This window comes from Homo sapiens, chromosome 9, assembly GCF_000001405.40.
Source record: "Homo sapiens chromosome 9, GRCh38.p14 Primary Assembly".
Classification (NCBI taxonomy): domain Eukaryota; kingdom Metazoa; phylum Chordata; class Mammalia; order Primates; family Hominidae; genus Homo; species Homo sapiens.
The window spans coordinates 84687583-84707648 of NC_000009.12; the positions used below are offsets into that span (position 1 = coordinate 84687583).

General features: G+C 41.0%; 1 protein-coding gene across 38 annotated transcripts in view, besides 3 other annotated features; it reads left to right on the top strand.

Moving 5' to 3' along the window:
- NTRK2 (neurotrophic receptor tyrosine kinase 2) overlaps nt 1–20066 on the top strand; it is a 358533-nt gene that overhangs the window by 19061 nt on the left and 319406 nt on the right. For 36 of the 38 annotated variants that reach the window (XM_017014751.3, XM_017014753.3, XM_047423432.1 and 33 more), the window contains 2 exons: nt 14577–14651; nt 14766–14837. In XM_017014751.3, the coding sequence (XP_016870240.1) occupies nt 14577–14651; nt 14766–14837 (147 nt within the window). Of the gene's footprint in view, nt 1–14022; nt 14131–14576; nt 14652–14765; nt 14838–18318; nt 18658–20066 lie in introns of those variants that run through there. The other 2 variants (NM_001369551.1, NM_001369552.1) reach the window with 2 other exon arrangements.
- Nucleotides 6504–6763: an enhancer, noted in NCBI's record as "active region_28506". NCBI's record gives its function as "activates an Ori minimal core promoter by ATAC-STARR-seq in GM12878 lymphoblastoid cells {active_cell/tissue: GM12878}" and the evidence as "EXISTENCE:reporter gene assay evidence [ECO:0000049][PMID:35858748]".
- Nucleotides 14156–14235: an enhancer, noted in NCBI's record as "active region_28507". NCBI's record gives its function as "activates an Ori minimal core promoter by ATAC-STARR-seq in GM12878 lymphoblastoid cells {active_cell/tissue: GM12878}" and the evidence as "EXISTENCE:reporter gene assay evidence [ECO:0000049][PMID:35858748]".
- Nucleotides 14546–14635: an enhancer, noted in NCBI's record as "active region_28508". NCBI's record gives its function as "activates an Ori minimal core promoter by ATAC-STARR-seq in GM12878 lymphoblastoid cells {active_cell/tissue: GM12878}" and the evidence as "EXISTENCE:reporter gene assay evidence [ECO:0000049][PMID:35858748]".

A 20066-nucleotide genomic window follows, 5' to 3' on the forward strand; every position in this document is an offset into this window, starting at 1 on the left:
TTTTGTATCTATACACATACAGTTCAGAAGGCAATAGATACTCTGTTGGCAAAGTCATCTTTTCCCATGGGTAGCTCAAATTGAGGACAGGAACTAACTTTTATATATGCTTATATTGATTGATTGATTGACTGACTCATGCGTTCATTCATTTGGTTACTCAATCAGCAAATCAGTTTTGAACATGTCTTTGTACCTGGTACTTTCCTGGGTCTTGGGTGACAAGACTTAGGCCAGCTCCTACCATTTATACCTTTTATATGGTCTGTTTCAAGGGCACAAACAGAGCCCCCAGTCAGATGGCCCTACCTTTCTCTCTCCCCAAAACTACAAGGGACCTCATAGGCAGGTGCATGGACAGTTCGGCCTACACACCCAAACTCTATCAACACCACCATAGACATCAACCTTGGACCTCCCCCTTTCCCTTACACTGCTGTACCTGGTGTGTGCATATCCATGGCTTGGTGCACCCTCAGGAAGATGGATCCAAGGAAAAGGCCTGCTCAGGCCGTAGGAGTGGACTCAGGGTCTTTGAGTAGGGAATTCTGGGATCCTGGGGAAGGGTGAAATCCAGGAAGGAGCATCCTATTGGCTCTGTGGACTCCTTGCCTCATGTGGAAGCACTTGCTGAAGGAGAACAGAGTGATGGACTCCAAAGGACCTGGGCCCAATGCTCAGGGCTAAAGGTGCCATGGACCAGGCTGATCGGCCCTTTGCATTGTGGACCTGGCCTCTGCCTCATTGTGCTTTTGTGCTATGACGATGATGCTCTGGATCAGGGCAAGTGCAGGGCATATGTCCTGGGAGTGTGTAGGGGGGTGGCCAGGCTCTTCAGATGGTTCCTACACTTCAGTGCCCCACCCTCTCTTCAGGGGCTCCATGTTCCCAACAAGGACAGAGTATACTGGATTCCTCCCCATCAAGTTTTGTGATATTATCATAGACACAAGCAGATCACAAGCAAAGCATAGATCTGTCCCCAGCAGTCAATGAGAATTGTTAAACGTCATTAGCTACCAGCTTCCTCCTTTCTCTCTTCCCCATATGGATTTTATTATTGCCCCTGAAAGTTCTGGGTCTAAATGTAATGTTTCAAGAATCAGCTAATTGTGGCTAAATACTATTATTTTTTACTGGGACCCCTGGAGGATCCTGAGATTGTAAAAACTGTGCCTGAAAAGTTCCTTTCCTCACGATGTCTTTTTTCCTGAATTGAAAAATTACTGAATATGTCAGTAGACATGCATAATGGATTGATAGATTAATTTTCCATTTTCTTTGGGAGTTTGTGTAGGGGAGTGATTCCTGTTGTAACATTGGTGGGTTAAGGGCTCCACTAGGATGTGTGGTCTGCCACTGCTACTTTGGACTAGTAACTAAAGCTTTCATGTCTCAGTTTCCCCATCTGGAAAAGTGGGCAATAATAGAAAAATAGAAAAGCATTACTGTGAGGTTAAAGTGAGCTGATGCATGTAGAATGCTTATAGCAGTGCCTGACACACAGTTCGCACTCTGCTGTTAGCTTATATGTGTGCGCATGTGTGGAGCTATCTTCAAATATGATTCAGAGGAAACTACTCTGTGAGGTTGGGAGGACTGAAAAGCAAAAGACTCTGCCTTGAGCATGACACTGAACAGCCTGAGGCTAAGAGGACAGATGTAAATGGCGCTGGTTCCCTTATGGCAACCTTTGCATGCCCTTTGGCTTGTCTGTGCATTACTCTCATCGTGTAGGACCTGGTGTGCTTAGCTGATTGGGACATTAACCATTCGTGTGCTGAGCGATCACAAGTGAGATTTCATGACTGTTATTCAGGTCATTGTCTTTGTTCTGTGACTTTGGTTTCTTTGATGGTCCTGGTCTATTTTATTGGTCAGGTTGTTTATTAACAGTCCTCCTGGACTCTGGGATTGTCAGTCATTTTCTCTTTTATTTTTCTCCATTTTCTCTTTTAACTGTCCTTTTTATTCTTTAGTTGTAAGGCCTTTAAAACATAGACATCTTATCCTTTTTTTAAAAAAAAGAATTGTAGTGAAACACACATGACATAAAGTTTGCCATTTTAACCATTTTTAAGTTCATATTTCAGTGATGCTAAGTACATCCACGTGTTGTGTAACCATCACCACCATCCATTTCCAGAACTCTTTACACCTGGAATAATTGAAACTCTGTACCCTTCAAACCATGACCCCCCATAACCTTACCTCCCTCTAGTGCCTGGCAACCACCATTCTACTTTCTGTCTCTATGAATTTGACTGTTCTAGGTACCTCAAAAATGTACATCTTTTTGAACAGTAATATATCCCTTGAATTAAAAGCTTTTTTTTTAAATAAGATATTTGTTTAGGACTTTTACAGCTATTCATGCTTTCCTTTTGCAAAATAACTTACTTATTGTGGCCTTACACAACCACTATGATTGGAATTTCTTTCCACTAGCATCTTTGAAGTTTAACTCCAAAGAAAGTAATCTCTAGCCATCTATAAAAATGACTGAAGGTTAACATGAGAAGTGAAATGCTGAAGATAAAATGGGAAGTGTCCCTGAATTTCACTCCCTTTCCTTACTCCCATAGCCTATAAAAGTTGGCTGAAAAATTGTGCCAATATCAAAACAGACCTTCATAGAGATCCTAAAATTTTACCACTGGAATCATTCTCCTCTCTTGACATTATGCTCATTTTTCTCTTTGCCATGCTTGACCTATCCTGAAGCTGGAGAAGAAGTATTAGTTCCAAAAATTTTCTTCTTGTGAAATGATTTGTCCTGACTGGAGGCCAAGAGCTTTCAAAACTGTGTTCTGCTGTGATTCGTGATGACTTGAATGCTTTTTAGAATTCTTACAGTCCAGGCGAATCATTGGAGATTCTTCTTCAAGAGTCATAAATGGGAAATGTATTGGCTTGAAAGAACAGGGAAAGAGGAAAAGACATTTTAAAAAATGATAATTTATTACAAAAAAAAACATTAGCTGGGCATGGTGGCCGGTGGTGGCAGGCGCCTGTGGTCCCAGCTACTTGGGAGGCCGAGGCAGGAGAATGGTGTGAACCTGGGAGGTGGAGCTTGCAGTGAGCCAAGATCACGCCACTGCACTCCAGCCTGGGCGACAGAGTGAGACTCCATCTCAAAAAAAAAAATAAAAAAAATGATAATTTATATGTTAGATTGAAGTTTCAAGATTTTACTTTTTAATGAGCATTCATTCTGAAATTTTAATAAATCATAGATGAAACTACTTACTAACCCATTTCTTGAAAACAACTAGTATAGAGTAATTCTATAGTGTCAGCATATTGTACATAAAGACCATTTAATTTTTATGGAATGAATGTTAAAAATGTCACAATCAGTTTTTCATCAGTATTTGAATAACTATTTGAATTATAATTATTTTATACAATAAAATTAATAAGGTAAAAATGAGAGGGATGAAAGAATTAAAGACAAGAACTCCAACTAACCCTAATGGTTGGCATAGTTGCTGTAACTGAGTGCAACATTTGTCCCCAACTTCCTGGCAGTGAAAAGAGAAACTCATTATTAGGAAGGAGAATGCCTACTAATTCCACAGGAACACAGATTTGTCTGGCAGTGTATTCCAAAAGGAATTTCTTTTGCAGGAACAATAAGTGATGTAACGCACAGTTTTTATGAAAAATCCAGAAGTAGCTTTCATTTTCTTCTTCCTGAGAAAGCCAGTGAAAGTTGGAGGAAGTGACAAGGACATCAATTCTGCAAGGAGGCTAAAGTTGTCCAAGAATTTAATCTCCTATCCCAGGGCTGTAATTATAACAGATACAACTCAGGATGTTAGACTCCCATTCCTACATGCCCTTTGCTGAACCAGGCTTTGATGGAAACTGGACTGCACATGATTTGAAGTTGTCTCCTTTGACAAGAGCCTGGAAAATTTTAGTCTCTGTTGCTGGTTAAGGCCAGATCTGTTCTCTTTGAAAACCAAACAAGCAGATGGTGGGGGCTGACATCCTTTTATAAAGACCAAGCAGCCTGGTCTGTGTGCTTGTTCAGGTGGAAGCTACCCTATCTGAGTATGAAGATGAGCTGCAGAGGTACCAGCAGAGATGCAGGCTTCCTGGGGGAAGCAGCCCTGTGACTGCCCCAGAACTTAGACAAATGCTTGATTGAAATCCCAGAGTTCCACCCCACAGAGCAGCAGAGAAGGTTTTGGCCTAGGAGCTGTTAGGAGCAGGTGTGACCAGACGGCCTCCCCAGCCATAGGAAAAGCTCCCTTAGGCTCCCGTGGTGCCTCCAACCCTGAGAGAGATGGTCCTCTTGTGAGCCTGCCAGGATGAATTAGCTGCAGAGGGCACCCCAAGTCGCTGAATGAGCTGACTTGTGTTTCTGATGGTTTCATATTGACCGATGTTAGAGTACATCTGCTCCAAATAAAAACTGTGGCTTAAACGTCAACTTTTAAGCCATTTCTATTTTTTGGAGAGTAGTTCAGTGTCATTTTTGTCCTGGTACTCTTCATGGTTTAATATGGTAAATTGGTGCCATGGTACCTGTTCAGTTATTGTCTTCCCATCGGCTGTCGTGGATTACTGTGACCTATGAAAGATCTGAGACCTAATGTAAAATATACAATTATATTAATTAAATACGTTGGAAGAAAAAAAATTGTCAGAAAAAAACCCATCCCTTGCTTCTCCTGGGAATTGTATTTACCATTATACCAACTATCAAATTACCTTGGCTATGTCTGTGCAAGTATTAGTTCATTTTTAACAACAGAAGAAGTTTGCAAAGTTTCCAGAACAGGTAAAAGTAACTTAAAGACATTGTCAATTTTTAATTGTAGTTTCTGTGTCATTTTACACACAGTTTCTTTTCTTTTCTTTTTTTTCTTTTTTTCTTTTTTTTTTTTTTTTTTTTGAGACAGAGTCTCACTTTGCCTCCCAGGCTGGAATCCAATGGCGCGATTTTGGCTCACTGTAACCTCTGCCTCCCAGGTTCAAGGATTCTCCTGCCTCAGCCTCCTGAAAGCAGGGATTACAGGCATGTGCTACCCACCTGGCTAATTTTGTATTTTTAGTAGAGACGGGGTTTCTCCATGTTGCTCAGGCTGGTCTCGAACTCCTGACCTCGGGTGATCTGCCCACCTTGGCCCCCCAAAGTGCTGGGATTACAGGCATGAGCCACCGCGCCCAGGGTTTACATACAGTTTCTGTGTGCTAGTCTCCTGGTAGCATTTATTTGATGAGGTTCATTTTAGAGATTGCTATGCATGGGAGCTCTACACATCTCCTATTCATGTAGGAGATTAGTTGGAGCATTAAAGTCTCTTATGAGCAAGAATTAAATCAGGTGTCATAAAATCTTTCCATGGGCCAGTGAAAGATCGGAAGTTGCTCAAGATGGAACCAATTGGAAATGTGCTCCGAACAACCCAGGGGCAGCACAGCTCGTGGTTGCCAGGAGGAGATGCTGGTTCAGTTTCATGGACCTTCTGTTTTCTTAAGACAACATGGAAATTCAAAACTTTTTAAATGTGAAAATTTTCAATCTCAAATGTTAGTGACTAATTAAAATTTTCTAAAAAATAAAGCACCCTTGTTGGTCAGATCCCGACCACGTGCTTTTGACTGTGACCTCTGGCTGATCATCAGTTGCTAAGATTTACCCATCATGCTACTTGTAGACTGAGATCCAGTCTTAAACTTGCATTCAGGGCTCTGGCAATAAGTTAAATTAAAGTTATCCTTTCATTATAGAGACCTATATGTTTTATGAGAAAGAAAATGTTAAGTTTTTTTTTCTCATCATAAATTTTGGTGGTCCCTGTTGGAAATCACCATATTGGTGGGAACAGATAAGAAAAGTGCTATATAAACACTCAGAGAGAAATACAGAGTGTAATTTTTTTCTTTATAATATTTTGAAGATTTTTTCTCATAATTTATGTATTGAAGAGATGTGAGATATTATCAATTCAAATTTCCTCTTGCACTAGAGGCTGGGTGACATTAAGCTCACCAGCTAGTTAGTAACCAAGCCAGGCCTTGAAACTGGTCTGTTCATTTTAAATAATAATTAGCATTAATTGAAATTCTCATGTGCAGTCTGGTTTTCTAATTTTCCCAACAACCCTAGGAGGCAGTTACTGTCGTTACTGCATTTTGCAGACAAGGAAACTGAGGCGTAGGGACTTGTCTCAGGTCATATAGCCAGTAAGAGGTGAAGCTAGTGCAGTATGTTTAGTCCTCATCCTACACTACCAATTATTTTCCAGGCACTCAAATTTGTAAATGCCCGGAGTATTTGGGCTGTTCTAATAAGCTGCAGTTTTCAGAGGCATTGTGTAAGAATCTGAAGATTTCTTATTTATCTCCTATTGTTGCTCTATGTAAATATAATACAGGACATCATCCTAAAAAGTATCCCTGTTCTTTTCCATTGACTGCTGTGTTTGGGCTGTGATTATTTGTAAAGGTCCATTGTGCAAAAACTCTAGAAATTATTTATCGTGAAGGTGCTGGATTTACAAGTCCCCAGTCCTAGAGCGTGGTACAGTGGCTATGGGCTCAGACTTCAGAGGCAGGTACATCTGGGTTCAAATCCTGTTTTGGCAGCTATGTGACTTAGGGGAAGTGATCTGGCATGGCGAGGCCCCAGTTTTGTCTTCTGAAAAATGGGAACAATCATAGAACTCTCCTGGTAGCATTATTTTGTTAGGAGACAGTCCCTGGGTAGCCTTCTGGCTAACACCAGTTAGCACTCCATAAAGAGGGAGTTACTGGTGCTACTTCAAAGCTCATGGCCAAAAAGAAACTGAAAGCTGAAAATGCCACTGCTCAACAGCATGCAGTAGTAAGCTCTTCAAATTTAGATTTTGGGCTTGCTCATTTAGCGTTCTTTCCATTCACGTCCTCACAGTTGGGGTGCATACCCCCTCAAGAATAGAGCCACAGACTGAGAGTCTGATCTTCCGTATCACCTGCACCTGCTCAGGGACTGACTTTCAAAACTCTTTCTCAGCATTTTTGCTGAGAAACTGAAACTGGCTAGCTGTGAACCCAGGGACCAAGGGAATTTTTTTTTTAGAAAAGGATTATTCTACTCCCTATGAAAGAAACCTTAGAGCAGAGAGAATCCTGTCATAGTTGAAATGCCGTGGCTGTAAGCCTGGGAATTTGAGGTCTATCTACTTTTATCAAATCTAATCTATCAATCAATCATCTATCTATCATCTGTCTATCTAGAGATGATAGATAGATTGATAGATATCATCTGGAGATGATAGATTGATTGATAGATTAGATTTGATAAAAATCTATCTATTGGCCGGGCGCGGTGGCTCACGTCTGTAATGCCAGCACTTCAGGAGACCAAGGCGGGTGGATCACGAGGTCAGGAGATGGAGACCATCCTGGGGAGCTTGCAGTGAGCCGAGATCGCGCCACTGCACTCCAGCCTGGGTGACAGAGTGAGACTCCGTCTCAAAAAAAAAAAAAAAAAAAACACACAACAAAAAACTTCTATCTATCTATGTATCTATCTATTTTATTGATCTATCTATAAGGAGGGAGGATGGGGTAGCAGGAAACGATTCCACTTTGAAGAGTCACCATTTGAAATATTCACAGCTGCTTCCATTTCATTTTGATGTGTTGCCAAAGTACAGTTCAGGTAATAAAGTCTAGGCTAAAGGGGAATTTTTCTTTTGAGTAATACCACTATTAAGCTAATATGCTTAAAGACAAGATGCATTAGATACTACTCCTTGTTGCTTGAAGAGATTACCTAGAGGAATTATTTGATAGGTTGTTAAAGCAAATGTGAAACCTTTTAAAATGTAATGAGGACCCTTTCCAGGAACCTGTAAGTCAAAAATATTTCTGTGAATTTTCTCTAAAATTACCTCTTTTCTCTTATTTTCCAAAAAGCCAGCTATAAGCTTTTTGTTAAGCCAAAGAAGAGGAAATTCTTTACCCTCAGAAAAATGTCTTAGTAAAGGTCCTGAATGTCAAATTGAGACTGGAGAAGATTTGGTGACAACACAAAACAAGATGACAAATAGCATGTACTGTGTTTATGTTCTAATTCTTTATCCACTTTCCGATCACTCTTCAAAGCTTGAGCTCAATGCCCTTTCTCCTTTTAAGCCTTCACTGACCTGCCCAATTATTTAAATATATATAAACAAATATATATTTCCAATAATTTTTGTAGTTCCTTCCACTGTGCCCTCACAGGGCAAGTGCATGTACTTCTTCTTAAAACCTTTTCTTTTTGGCTCATCATATCCTGTGGCAGTGTCCACTGTCTCTCCTTAGAGCATCATCTCCTTCAAGATAAAGAATTGCTGGATTTGAAGAATCATGGAGGCCATTTCTAGTCTTACATTCCTCACATGTTGGGGTTCTGTGGCAAATGAATGCTTATCTGCTGAGGGCAATTATTATTATTATTTTAGACAAGATCTTGCTCTGTCACCCAGGCTGGAGTGCAGTTGGCGCTATCATGGCTCACTGTAGCCTTAACTTCTTGGACTCAAGTGATCCTCCCACCTCAGTCTCCCAAGCAGCTGGGACCACAGGCACCTGCCACCATGCCCAGCTAATTTTTAAATTTTGTGTAGACAGGGTATTACTATGTTGCCCAAGCTGGTCTCGAACTCCTGGACTCAAGCCTCCTGCCTTGGCCTCCCAAAGTACTAGGATTACAGGTGTGAGCCACTGTGGCTAGCTGGTTTTTATCACTTAAATAAATAAGTAAATAAGTAGTGGGTTTGAATATGTTGTGTTCTTGTAATCTAAATTAGCTTTTAGATTGGACAAATTTGGGGTTCCAAATCAGCTTTCCACCCCCTTCTGTTATTGTCTTTCCTTTGTTTGCTTGTTTTCTGCATGAGAAGTGAAGCTGTGTCCTATGACGGTGATAAACTCCAGGTGGAGGATCAGTTTGGGTGCCCTAAGTGAGCAGACATTCCTTGAGCATCAGCTCTGTGCTAGGAAACGGAGATCAGTGAGATGAGATGAGGAGCTAGCAATTCAGTTATGGGGTCAGGTAGACTCATAGAAAAATAAAATTGAGGGTACAAAGAGTACCTCCCATTGCTCTAATTCTTAATTGCAAACTTACAAGTGCAATAAATGCTAAAACTGCATGCCAACCGATGGAATAAAAATGTTCTGATTGGAAAAAGCATTTTTGGTGTTGTGTCTACAAATCACTCAAGCAGTCGTGGAGGGTCCTGGGATAGATTTAGATGAGTACATTGATAAGACTCTATCATATAAGATCCAATCTTTAGGGCAATAGTTAATGACCTTGGGATGTAGTAAATGTGCAAAAAATAACAGCAAAAACTGCCCTCATAATATGAGGTCCTAGCAAGAGTCCTGTATATGGACTTGGTAAGGGAGGAAGGCACATTCTGGGCAGAACAGGATGGTTGAAGGCCACCAATGATTCCTGGCAGATTATTAATAAAGGTTGAGGGCCAGGGACCCTGAGGGACTGACGAGGTGAGAGAAATTCCTAAGGAGTACCAAATGAAACAAAAAATCCGAATTCACCATGCCTCTTGGTCACTATTTAAGGGCCGCTGACTTGCCTAAGAGAGCATGCAAGCAACGTCTGCAGGCTGGGGGGTGGAGGGAAGCTCAATTTTCTGAGAAGATGAAAACTCCGTGGACCTCGTGAGATTCCTGTGAGGCAAGTGCGGGGACATGGGCTCTGGGGGCGGAGGGGCTGTGCTTGGAAGCCCCTGGGCCTAAGCTTTCTAGAGCAGTGGGCCTAGGTTAGAGGAGTTTGAGGTTGTCATGGAGAGAAATCTCCTGGTTGGGGTGTGTGCCACAATTCTGGGCCTTCCCACTGCTCCCTTGAGGGAATGGCACCCTTTTTGGAGATGTGTTTTATTAAGCAGAGCTTGACTCGGTGAAGAGCCCACAGTGTCACTGCACTTTAACAGGGGCAGTGGGGAGTGGTTTTCTGGGAAAGAGCCTGCTGCCCGCCTGTCAGTGGCCCTGACCTGGCACTTCCTCTCTCCTTCCTAACCCTGTGCCTTTGGGATCAGTTGCCCTGAGGCAGAGAGCAGGAGAGGCCAGGGCTGTGGAGATCCTCCTGGAGGCAGGTGGAAGTCACCAGGAGGGGGCAGCGCAGCACACACCTTGGTCTTCTGTTTCCATGCGGAGGCTGTGGAGCAGGGAAAGAAAGCTGTTAGCTGTTTGCTGTTTGGGTGGTCCAGGGAACCAAGAACTTGAGCTCGGGTGTGTTTGTCCACTGAGTCACTGAGAAACCCTGGGGTCTGGCTTTCCTGCAGTTATTTCCTTTGTATGGTTGTTGCAGTCTCTGTCTCTCTTTCTTTCCCTCTCTCCCTCCCACCCTTTCTTGCTTGCTGTCTCTTTCTTTTCTTTTTTCTTCATAAATTTTAAAAATTCAAAAAAGTATAATGACATAATAACTTTATATAATTACATTCAGAAATAATAGTTGAATATTTTTAAGCTATTTTTTCTTTTAATAAAATAGTTTAGCAGTTTAATAACATAAATGGTATAAATAGTTTCTGTGTATGTGTGTGTGTGTGTGTAACCCCAGACCCATTCTCCTTTCCCAAGGCCACCTTCCTTGGAATCATCTTTCTATACTTGGCATATCTACTTGACTGTGAACACTATGTGATATTATTTTTTGTGTATTTTTAAAAGTTCACACAGATTGTTTTATGTTACATGTACGTATCAGTATACAATTTTGCTTATCTTCTTTCTCACTTCGCATAGCAGTGTCTTTCTGTTCAAATATGTAGATCTGATTTAATCTAATATATATATATATATATCACCTTATTTTAAACAATGTCTATTTCTTTATGGATGGACACTCGGGTTGTTCCAGCTTTTGACTCTATGACAATGAATGTTGTAATATTCTACTGATCATATTACAATGACTCTTCTTGAGTCCATATGTGAGAACTTCTCTTGGATGAATACCTGGAATAGAATTGCTGGGCCCTGAAGGGTTCTGATTTATAATTTTCCAAGATACAGGCCAAGTGCTTTTCAAAGTAGTTATAACAATTTACACTTCCTCCAACAATTTCAGAGAAATTTCATCACATCCATAGAAATGTTTTACATTGTTAGACTTTAAACATTTTGTCAATCTAGTGGGAGAGGAATAATATGTCATTGTTATTTTAATTTACATTTCACATTTCTTGGGAGATAAGCAACTTTTCATGTTTCTTGGCCACCGAAGTTTTCCCTCTGTGAATTCCCTGTTATTCACCTTACTGGCTTCTTTTCTAACCCTATGATTTGATTCTTCACTTAGTGGTAGCTAAGGAGAGTTTCTTAGGGGGTAGATTTCCTGAGCAGTTTGTAGCTAGCATCTATATTGTGGACATGACTACACGTAGTAGCTTATGAGGGGGAATTCTTAGGATCTACTACTAGAGGAGCCCTTGCTGAAAATTTTTTTTTTTTTTTGAGACGGAGTCTTGCACTGTTGCCCAGGCTGGAGTGCAGTGGTGTGATCTCGGCTCATGTCAAGCTCCACCTCCCGGGTTCACACCATTCTCCTGCCTCAGCCTCCTGAGTAGCTGGGACTACAGGTACCCGCCACCACGCCTGGCTAATTTTTTGTATTTTTAGTTGAGACGGGGTTTCACCATGTTAGCCAGGATGGTCTCAATCTCCTGACCTCGTGATCCGCCCGACTTGGCCTCCCAAAGTGCTAGGATTACAGGCGTGAGGCACTGCTCCTGGCCCTTGCTAAACTTGTAATCCAGCTCTTCTGTTGGCCTTTCCATCTTGACAAGAAGAAAAATGTATTTATTTATCCAGGGCATTCTTGCCCCCACAGTAGAAGCGTATTCTCTAGTGACCATTTTTCATAACTTCTTTTGATGGTGCTTTTGAATGGTTTTCAGCAAAATTTCCTGTCTGGTCTTAGATTTCAGAATAGTGGTGCTTTGCTTAATTGGCTCATTTTCATCTCATGAATACTGTGAATTTACCATTGACCAAATTTATCCTCATCTCCTTCTTTCTTGGACACTGGTGACTAGAAAGCATAGAATTAAGCTTATGTGTGTGTTTTTTTTTTTTTCTAACGAGTGTATGCATTTCTAAATTGAATTCCGGGCTCCGTTGATATCTCTTTATTTTTAATTTATTTTTATTTTTAAATTGTTTTTTTTCTTTTTTTTCCCACATAGTTTTGTGCAATCCATTGACATCTCTACCCCTGTCTTTCTCTCCTCTATGCCTTCCATTTTTATTTGCTGGTTCGTTGTATTCTATTGAATAAAACCGGGGAGTTTATAAATTAAATGTCTGATGAAAAATGAAAAGAAAGGGCATAAGTAACAAAAAGTTAAAGATGAGTGCCTTGTGCAGATCATAATAAAGTCCCCATTGAGTTCCAGGCCCTTGTTGTGAGCATGGAGGATGCAAGGATAATCCAGGAAAAGAGTGAGGAAGAACTCTCAATGACTTCAGGACAGTGACAGGCCTCATGCTTACACAGCTGGTAGGAGGGGACAGGCTTGCCTGGAAGTCTGGATTGTGACTCCAGAGGAAAACTCGCCCACATTATCTATCCTTTTTGCTGTCAGTTGCATGAGAAAAAGTATTAAAATTCAGGGCTCTTTAGAATGCAGTTCTTACTGTGAGATCATTTAGAAGAGTGAGGTCACTGTGGTCTCTATTGAAAATGTTGGTGAAAAATCTTGCAAAAATGTATCTAAAGTATGATAACTCTGAAACAGTTGATGTTAAAAATTGAGCATTCCTTTCAAGTCTTAAAATGTTTCTTTCTTCTATGTGTGGTGGGAGGAGAGAAGGGAACGAAAGCTTCCTGCACATTTATTAAGTGTGCCAGGCCCTGGGTATCAGGGACAACCAAGAATTTTTTCAGAAGAAGCCGCCGTTCTATCTTGGAGGCTGGTTTTTTATGTAACAGGGGACAATGTTTGTGTGGATGCTTTTAAAAGTATTTCTCTTTGGTGTAATTTTGTCTTCTCAGAGAATCTACTGATTTTTATTTTTAAAATTTATTTTCTAAAAAGAGGTGCCCAAACCCTTACTATACAGCTTGTCATCATTTTCTTTCACACAGTGGGGGACCTATAGATGCTGTGTGTTCCTCCCCATCATTTAATATTTTTTTCATTTTAACTCACATTGTTAACAGCAGGGCTGCATATTTGTTTTCAGTGTCTTAATTGGAATATGTTATATATCTTAAATTTTTTCAAAAAGAAAGGGGAGATTTCCTCCTGGCATAATTTCTTGTAATGCCTTTGTAACTCCAAGTGCAGTTCATCTTTTCTCCATCTGTCCATCCATCCGTCCATCCATCCATCCATCCATCCTTTGAGTACCTACCTTGTACTGGGTACTGAGCCAGGTGCTGTGATGCATATTAAGAATTATAAAACAGATCTAGCTATCTCAAAGACATTGTGATCTAAGAAAACTGAATAGACAGGTACTTAAATAACTGTAGTACAGGGTAGAGTATAGGAAATTCCATGATGATGGTTTTAATAGTTATTTGTTTGGATCACTAGGGACTTTACTGATTGCAAATGATAGAACTTAAGATTAACTTAGGTTAGTGACATCTAGCCTGAGAGACAGTTGTATCTAAAGGCTCAAGTGGTATTTTTAGAGTTCTGTCTCTTTAGCTCTGCTTCTTTCTGTGGACTGACTTCATTCTTGGACAGTCTATTTCCTTGTAGCAGAAAATTTCCCCATGGAAGCCCCAGGCCTGTGCCATCCTTCAGCTATGATCCCAGAGTAAGACAGAGACTCTCTCTTCCCCAGCATTCATTTATTTAATCTCGGGGAAGACTCCTCTTAGTGTAATTGAGATCATGTGCACATCTCTAAGCCCACCAATGTGGGCAAAGGGATGGAGTTTTCTCTCTATTCACCCCTATATTGGAGGGCTTAGGGGGTGGGGGAGGGAGGAGGTTCCCACGGAGAATGCGCTAAGGCCATATGGGGTTTGTGAAATGTGGTTCATCAAAGGAAAGATTGATACTGTTACTGACAAAGGCAGAAGGAGGAGATGCTGGGCCAGGAAAATAGAGAGAAAAGAGGAAGGGGTAGGGAAAACGCACCTTAGTATTTTAGGAGGTAAAGGAGGGAGTGGCTGTCTCTCTTGAAATGTGGGGAAATATGTGACTTTTCTTGTGCAGTGATGACAGCAGCATCTCTGTGGCTCTCACCGTAAGAGTGGAAACACCTTTGAGAGGAGTAGATGCATTTCCACGGTGTTTTCACATATGTACACTGGTGATACTCCAAAAGGGAAAGAAAAGTGAAATTGTTGGGTGAAAGAGTGATGAAACACGAGGAGAAATGAAACCCAGTGCAAGGGTTATTGACCATGAAACCTGGTCAGTCATGGTTTCTGCTCAGTCATGCTCAGTTTTGCTCTACTGCTGTATTTAAAAAAATGGCAAGGCTCAGAGTGGTGTGGAGGGAGCACCTTGGACACCTGGGTGAGGTGGATGGGAGTTCTTCATGGTGCTGCTGCCTACATTCTGAGTCACTGCGATTCACTCTCTGCTTTGTTACAGTTTCATCGCAAACCAGAAAAGGTTAGAAATCATCAACGAAGATGATGTTGAAGCTTATGTGGGACTGAGAAATCTGTGAGTACTCAGGACCAGGGCACATTATCTCAGAGAATTTTCCTGTTGTCTGCTCTGGTCAGGCAGGCATTCACTGGTTCGTTCTAATGTGCATGAAATTATGTGTTTTCACAGGACAATTGTGGATTCTGGATTAAAATTTGTGGCTCATAAAGCATTTCTGAAAAACAGCAACCTGCAGCACATGTAAGTAGAGATTGATTCTTTTGCTTCCCAGGACCCATTTTATTCAATATTTCCCCCCTCTGTTTATTTTCCTTCTTTTCCAACTTGAAACCTCCCTTTTTAAAGTTAGTATAGCTGTGATAATAGCTTAGAAACATTAGCTCTGATTTTGTTTGATTTTTTGAATAGCTTCAGAGGGGTACTTAGAACAGGCTGTTTATTCCCTTTCATGAATTTCTGGGCCAGTTCCATCTTGGACAGAGCAATAGGCTAGCAGCAAGGAGTCTGATGTGAAAACTGTGTCCTTGCACAGAGTTCTTGATTTTCTTCCTTGGAATAATGACATACTCCCTGGAAGACATCAAACTAGTGGAATCGAAAGAAGCTGACTTGGCCTTGGCCTTTATAGGGAAATAAAAATTACTGGTGCTTTTCCCCTCACAATAGGATTCTCTTTTGAACCTTCATTTTCCCAAAGCCGTCTGTCATGGTTTGATAAAGGTAGAGAAAAATCAATCATGGGACATGCCAAAGGTACAGAAAATTATTAACAATGGGAAATATTTCCCCAAAGTCTTGTTGATGCTTTGTCCACTGAAGTCAAACGGAAATATGGAAAATGGGAACTGTTAGCTTGTTTGTTGCTAAATCCTCTAGATGATGGCATTTAAGTCCATAAGGTGTGGCTTTCCTGAGAGTTGTCTTCATTAAACTAAAGATCACCTAAGTGCAGAATATTTATGCATCACTGAGCTCAGACTTGTACTCCCATCCCCTGAGTTTTTAGTGGAACTTCTGCCAGAAGGTTGTTGCCTGCATTTATTGATTCTGTTTTGCTGTACCAAATTCTCTTTGCAGTGATACCTTACATGTCATAGTCTATCTGTGGGACCCTCACCTGGATTATTTCACATGATTTTTTTCTGACAATTGGTAGGACAGATCTTTTTTATGCACATTTCATAGATAAAATAAGAGTGAGAGAGTTCTAGGACTTGCTCAGATTCATAGATCGTAAGTAGCAGAGTTATGACTCCAGGGCCAACCCCTCTCCATGTTCTTACAATAAGAGCACAGGAAATAAAATCTGTATCATCCTTAGAGAATCAGACTTTCTTATAAGGTTCGTCCTCTTTCTTTTTTTTTGAGGAGAACAGTTCCCCAACTGATTTCCATGCCAGTTATAAAAGAAACCATTCTCTTAGAAGCAGATTGCCTGGACACTCTATTGAAATTTGTTGATATTATGGAAAATATTAATTTCATAAAGCCAATATCATAGCTTCATATTTTATAGGTGGCATTAATGATGAAGTCACTTTAAAAATAAAGTCTGTAAATTAAGACATAAAACATTCTACAAAAATGTGATAAAACTCCAGGGAACTTTATTAACACATTTCAATTAAATGCTTTTTGGAATCATTTTTGCAGTCTGCACAAATCTTTGCCTGCACAAATCTGATGGCTGCATAGGCCTTGATAGCATAAACAAGAGAGAAGTTGGATAGAAGAAAAAGGCAAAATGCTCTAATGCAGTCACTTAGATGTAATTAATGACCTCAGTGGTTAAGTTCTGGTATTTTCATTACAGTTGACCTTAGACCCAAATTACTCAACAACTGCATTTTACTGGCTCTTTTATCACATCACTTCTCCTAATGTTGTGATTTGGACAGTGGGCTCTGGCTAATTATAGTTTTATTAATAGACTTACTGATTACTTTACTTTGTATATTTTCATTATTGCATGCTATTTCTATGAATATGAAAGCCACTTTGTATATTTTTTCATGTTGATATATGACGGTGATTTTGGTGGTATTCTTTTTTTTTTTTTTTTTTTTTGAGATGGAGTCTCGCTCTGTCACCCAGGCTGGAGTGCAGTGGCTCGATCTCGGCTCACTGCAAGCTCCGCCTCCTGGGTTCATGCCATTCTCCTGCCTCAGCCTCTCCAGTAGCTGGGACTACAGGCACCTGCCACCACGCCAGGCTAATTTTTTTTTTTTAGTAGAGATTGGGTTTCACCGCATTAGCCAGGATGGTCTCGATCTCCTGACCTTGTGATCTGCCCACCTCGGCCTCCCAAAGTGCTGGTATTACAGGCTTGAGCCACTACGCCTGGCCGGTGGTATTCTTTGTGCAGTACACAGCTTATATAAAGTCAAATATCTCTCCCTAGCTTTCAGAGAAGAATTATTTTAAAATGGGAAGCTAAAGGGACATACATATCTTACAGTTTTCTGAAGAAGCAATTGTTGGGATGTCAATCATTGATCAAATTGCAAAAATGCTACTAATATTTATAGCCATTTATTGAATAGTAAGACAGAGAGAAATAGGCAAGTGCCAGGCAGTTATGAAGAGGTCATCAGATGGCAGTAAGCTTCATATAGTCACAGGACAAAAGAGGCTCTTAATCACCAAAATCTGAAATTAAATTAAGTAGTTTGCTTTTGAGAACAGTAGGGAGGAAGGAAGGAATTAAGTCAGGTGTCTGCCTTTCCGGATCTTAGACCTAACCTCTGCTTGTGATGGAGGACTCTGGGGAACAGCTTGGTTGGTGGTCCCCTGATTTTCCACATGCAAATTGCACTCTTCCCTCAAATATCAACGCAGTGGGGTGCAAGGGAGCTGATAACAAAATATGTATTAAAAGCTGTTTCTCTCTACCCCTGGGATATACTGATGATCTCTCTGAGTTTCCCCAGCAATATAAAAATGCATACAAGATCAGTCTATTTCACTTCGGGTTTTAGGGAAATTTAAATGGGATCCTCTCTCTCACTTTCACCACTTCTCCCCCTACCCTGTCCATGTGAGCATCACATGGGGACTGCCCAGAGCCCCAGAGACTGGTCACTGCGTTATTTCTTGATGCCTTTAATTCCTGCCCAGCCCCTTAGAGCCCAGGGACTGTGAGAAAAGCTGGTATTTGTGTTTTCCAGGGACTTTGCAGAGGTGCTAATTAGCTCCCTTGCAAAGCTCTATAATCAAACAGTAAGAGGATTGTTGATTTTTTTCCCTCCCCTCTTCCTCCATTTTGGCTTTTGGCCCCAATAATAAGTATGGCTCATAAAACTCATCTTGTTCTTTGGCCGGTAACCCCGCTCTTTGCGGTGCTGCTGGCAGCCCCACAGAGGCAGCAGCTCTGCGGGGCGGCGGTTTTACCAGCAGACAGGGAGACCCTTCACCCTAAGCCTCCTCTTTCTTTGCTGCCTCTCTCTGCCTTTTTCTTGAGGAGGAAAGCAGGTTTTTGGTTTTTCGTTTGTTTGTTTTAGAAAGATTGGGACTTCTGATGAAGATGAAAGCATTGTGCCTTAGAAACTGTGGAAGATAGGCAGACTGACTTTTCAATGCATTGTATACCAGTGAAACCCATTCTTTTTTTTTTTTTTTTTTTTTTTAAAGAAGGAGTCTTGCTGTTGTCGCCCAGGCTGGAGTGCAATGGCGCCATCTTGGCTCACTGCAACCTCTGCCTCCCGGGTTCCAGCAATTCTCCTGCCTCAGCCTCCCAAGTAGCTGAGATTACAGGCAGGCGCCACCACACCAGGTGAATTTTTGTGTTTTTAGTAGAGACGGGGTTTCACCATGTTGGCCAGGCTGGTCTCAAACTCCCAACCTCGGGTGATCCAACAGCCTTAGCTTCCCAAAGTGCTGGGATTACAGGTGTGAGCCACTGCACCCGGCCAAAACCCATTCTTAATTCACGTTCCAAAAGAAGAGACCTATGTGGGCACATTTTACAACTTCCTGGTGGATTATTTTTCATGTGGGTGAGCACTTTATACTCAGTGTGAAGAGAGAAGATGCACGCCTAGGAGGAAGGACGGTACCCTGTGTAGGTAGGGGTTTGGATGAGTGGAGATCTTAATATAGAATTAAGCTGGGAGTGGACACACACATTCATGATTTGTGAGACACCAGAGTGGTAGGTTCTTTCTTATCAACTGACTAGCCTTAGTTCATGCTTTAGCTCCTGGTTGTAATGCCAGGACTGTGTGACTGATCAAACACACTAGGATACTTCAGTGATGACTTCCTTGGGCTGACGGCAAAGAGTAGCCTCAGGTGAGGGGCCAGGATCACTGTCACCCTCAGATCTCATGTGTGTTATTTTTTGTTTTTGTTTTTTTTTTTTTTTTTTTTGAGACGGAGTCTTGCTCTGTCACCCAGGCTGGAGTGCAGTGGCACAATCTCTGCTCACTGCAAGCTCTGCCTCCCGGGTTCATGCCATTCTCCTGCCTCAGCCTCCCCAGTAGTTGGGACTACAGGTGCCCGCCACCGCCTGGCTAATTTTTAGTATTTTTTTTAGTGGAGACGGGGTTTCACTGTGTTAGCCAGGATGGTCTCGATCTCCTGACCTCATGATCCACCCACCTCGGCCTCCCAAAGTGCTGGGATTACAGGCGTGAGCCACCGCACCTGGCCAGATCTCATGTTTTATCCAACTCTCAACCCAACACTTGCCTTCCTCGGCAGGAAACACACACTGAAAGTCTCATTGACTTCCTCCGGTTTGTAGAGGTCTTGGCTGTTTTTATGAAAGTTGATGTTTATTTTACATTCATTTTATTTATTAAACACATCTTGAGGCCCAAGCATCGGATACTCTTTAAATAAATTTAAACAGTAAACAAATTCGCAGAGTGAGTCGGCTGCCAGGGTTATGGCTCTGAGTTTCCTACCCCAAAATCTCATGACACTGATCATTGGAAACTCTTTTATAGAATCAAATTACATGTTTGGAACATGTCAGTAAATTATTATTTTTTTTAGTCACAAATATATCTTTTTATTGTCTGGTTGGTCTAAATCTGAAGATGGTATGTCACTAGAATGGTTCAAGATGAAATCTGACATATTCCTTGTTACCTAATTTTTGTTTGTTCTCATCGTGGAGGTATGCGGTTATTTAGATCATATGTAAACAATCTCAGTAGAGTTTTTTTTATCAATAAAATGTCTTTCCTATAAAGACGTATTGAATTCAGTTAATATTCAGAGTTTTGTATGCCACATAATTTCAAAATATCCATGATGCTCTTTAGTTTTAAGGCATATTTTTTCCCTACTGGGTTTATAGTTTTAAATTTTATTTAATCTTACATATCCTCCTATTAATTGTTCAAAAGATCAGGGTTTCTATAAGATATATAACTTGGCTCCAAATCAACATATGAAAAGTAAGCTTTTGGGTGAAAAAGACATTAAAAATACACAATATATTTATGCTACCCCTCCCAGCAA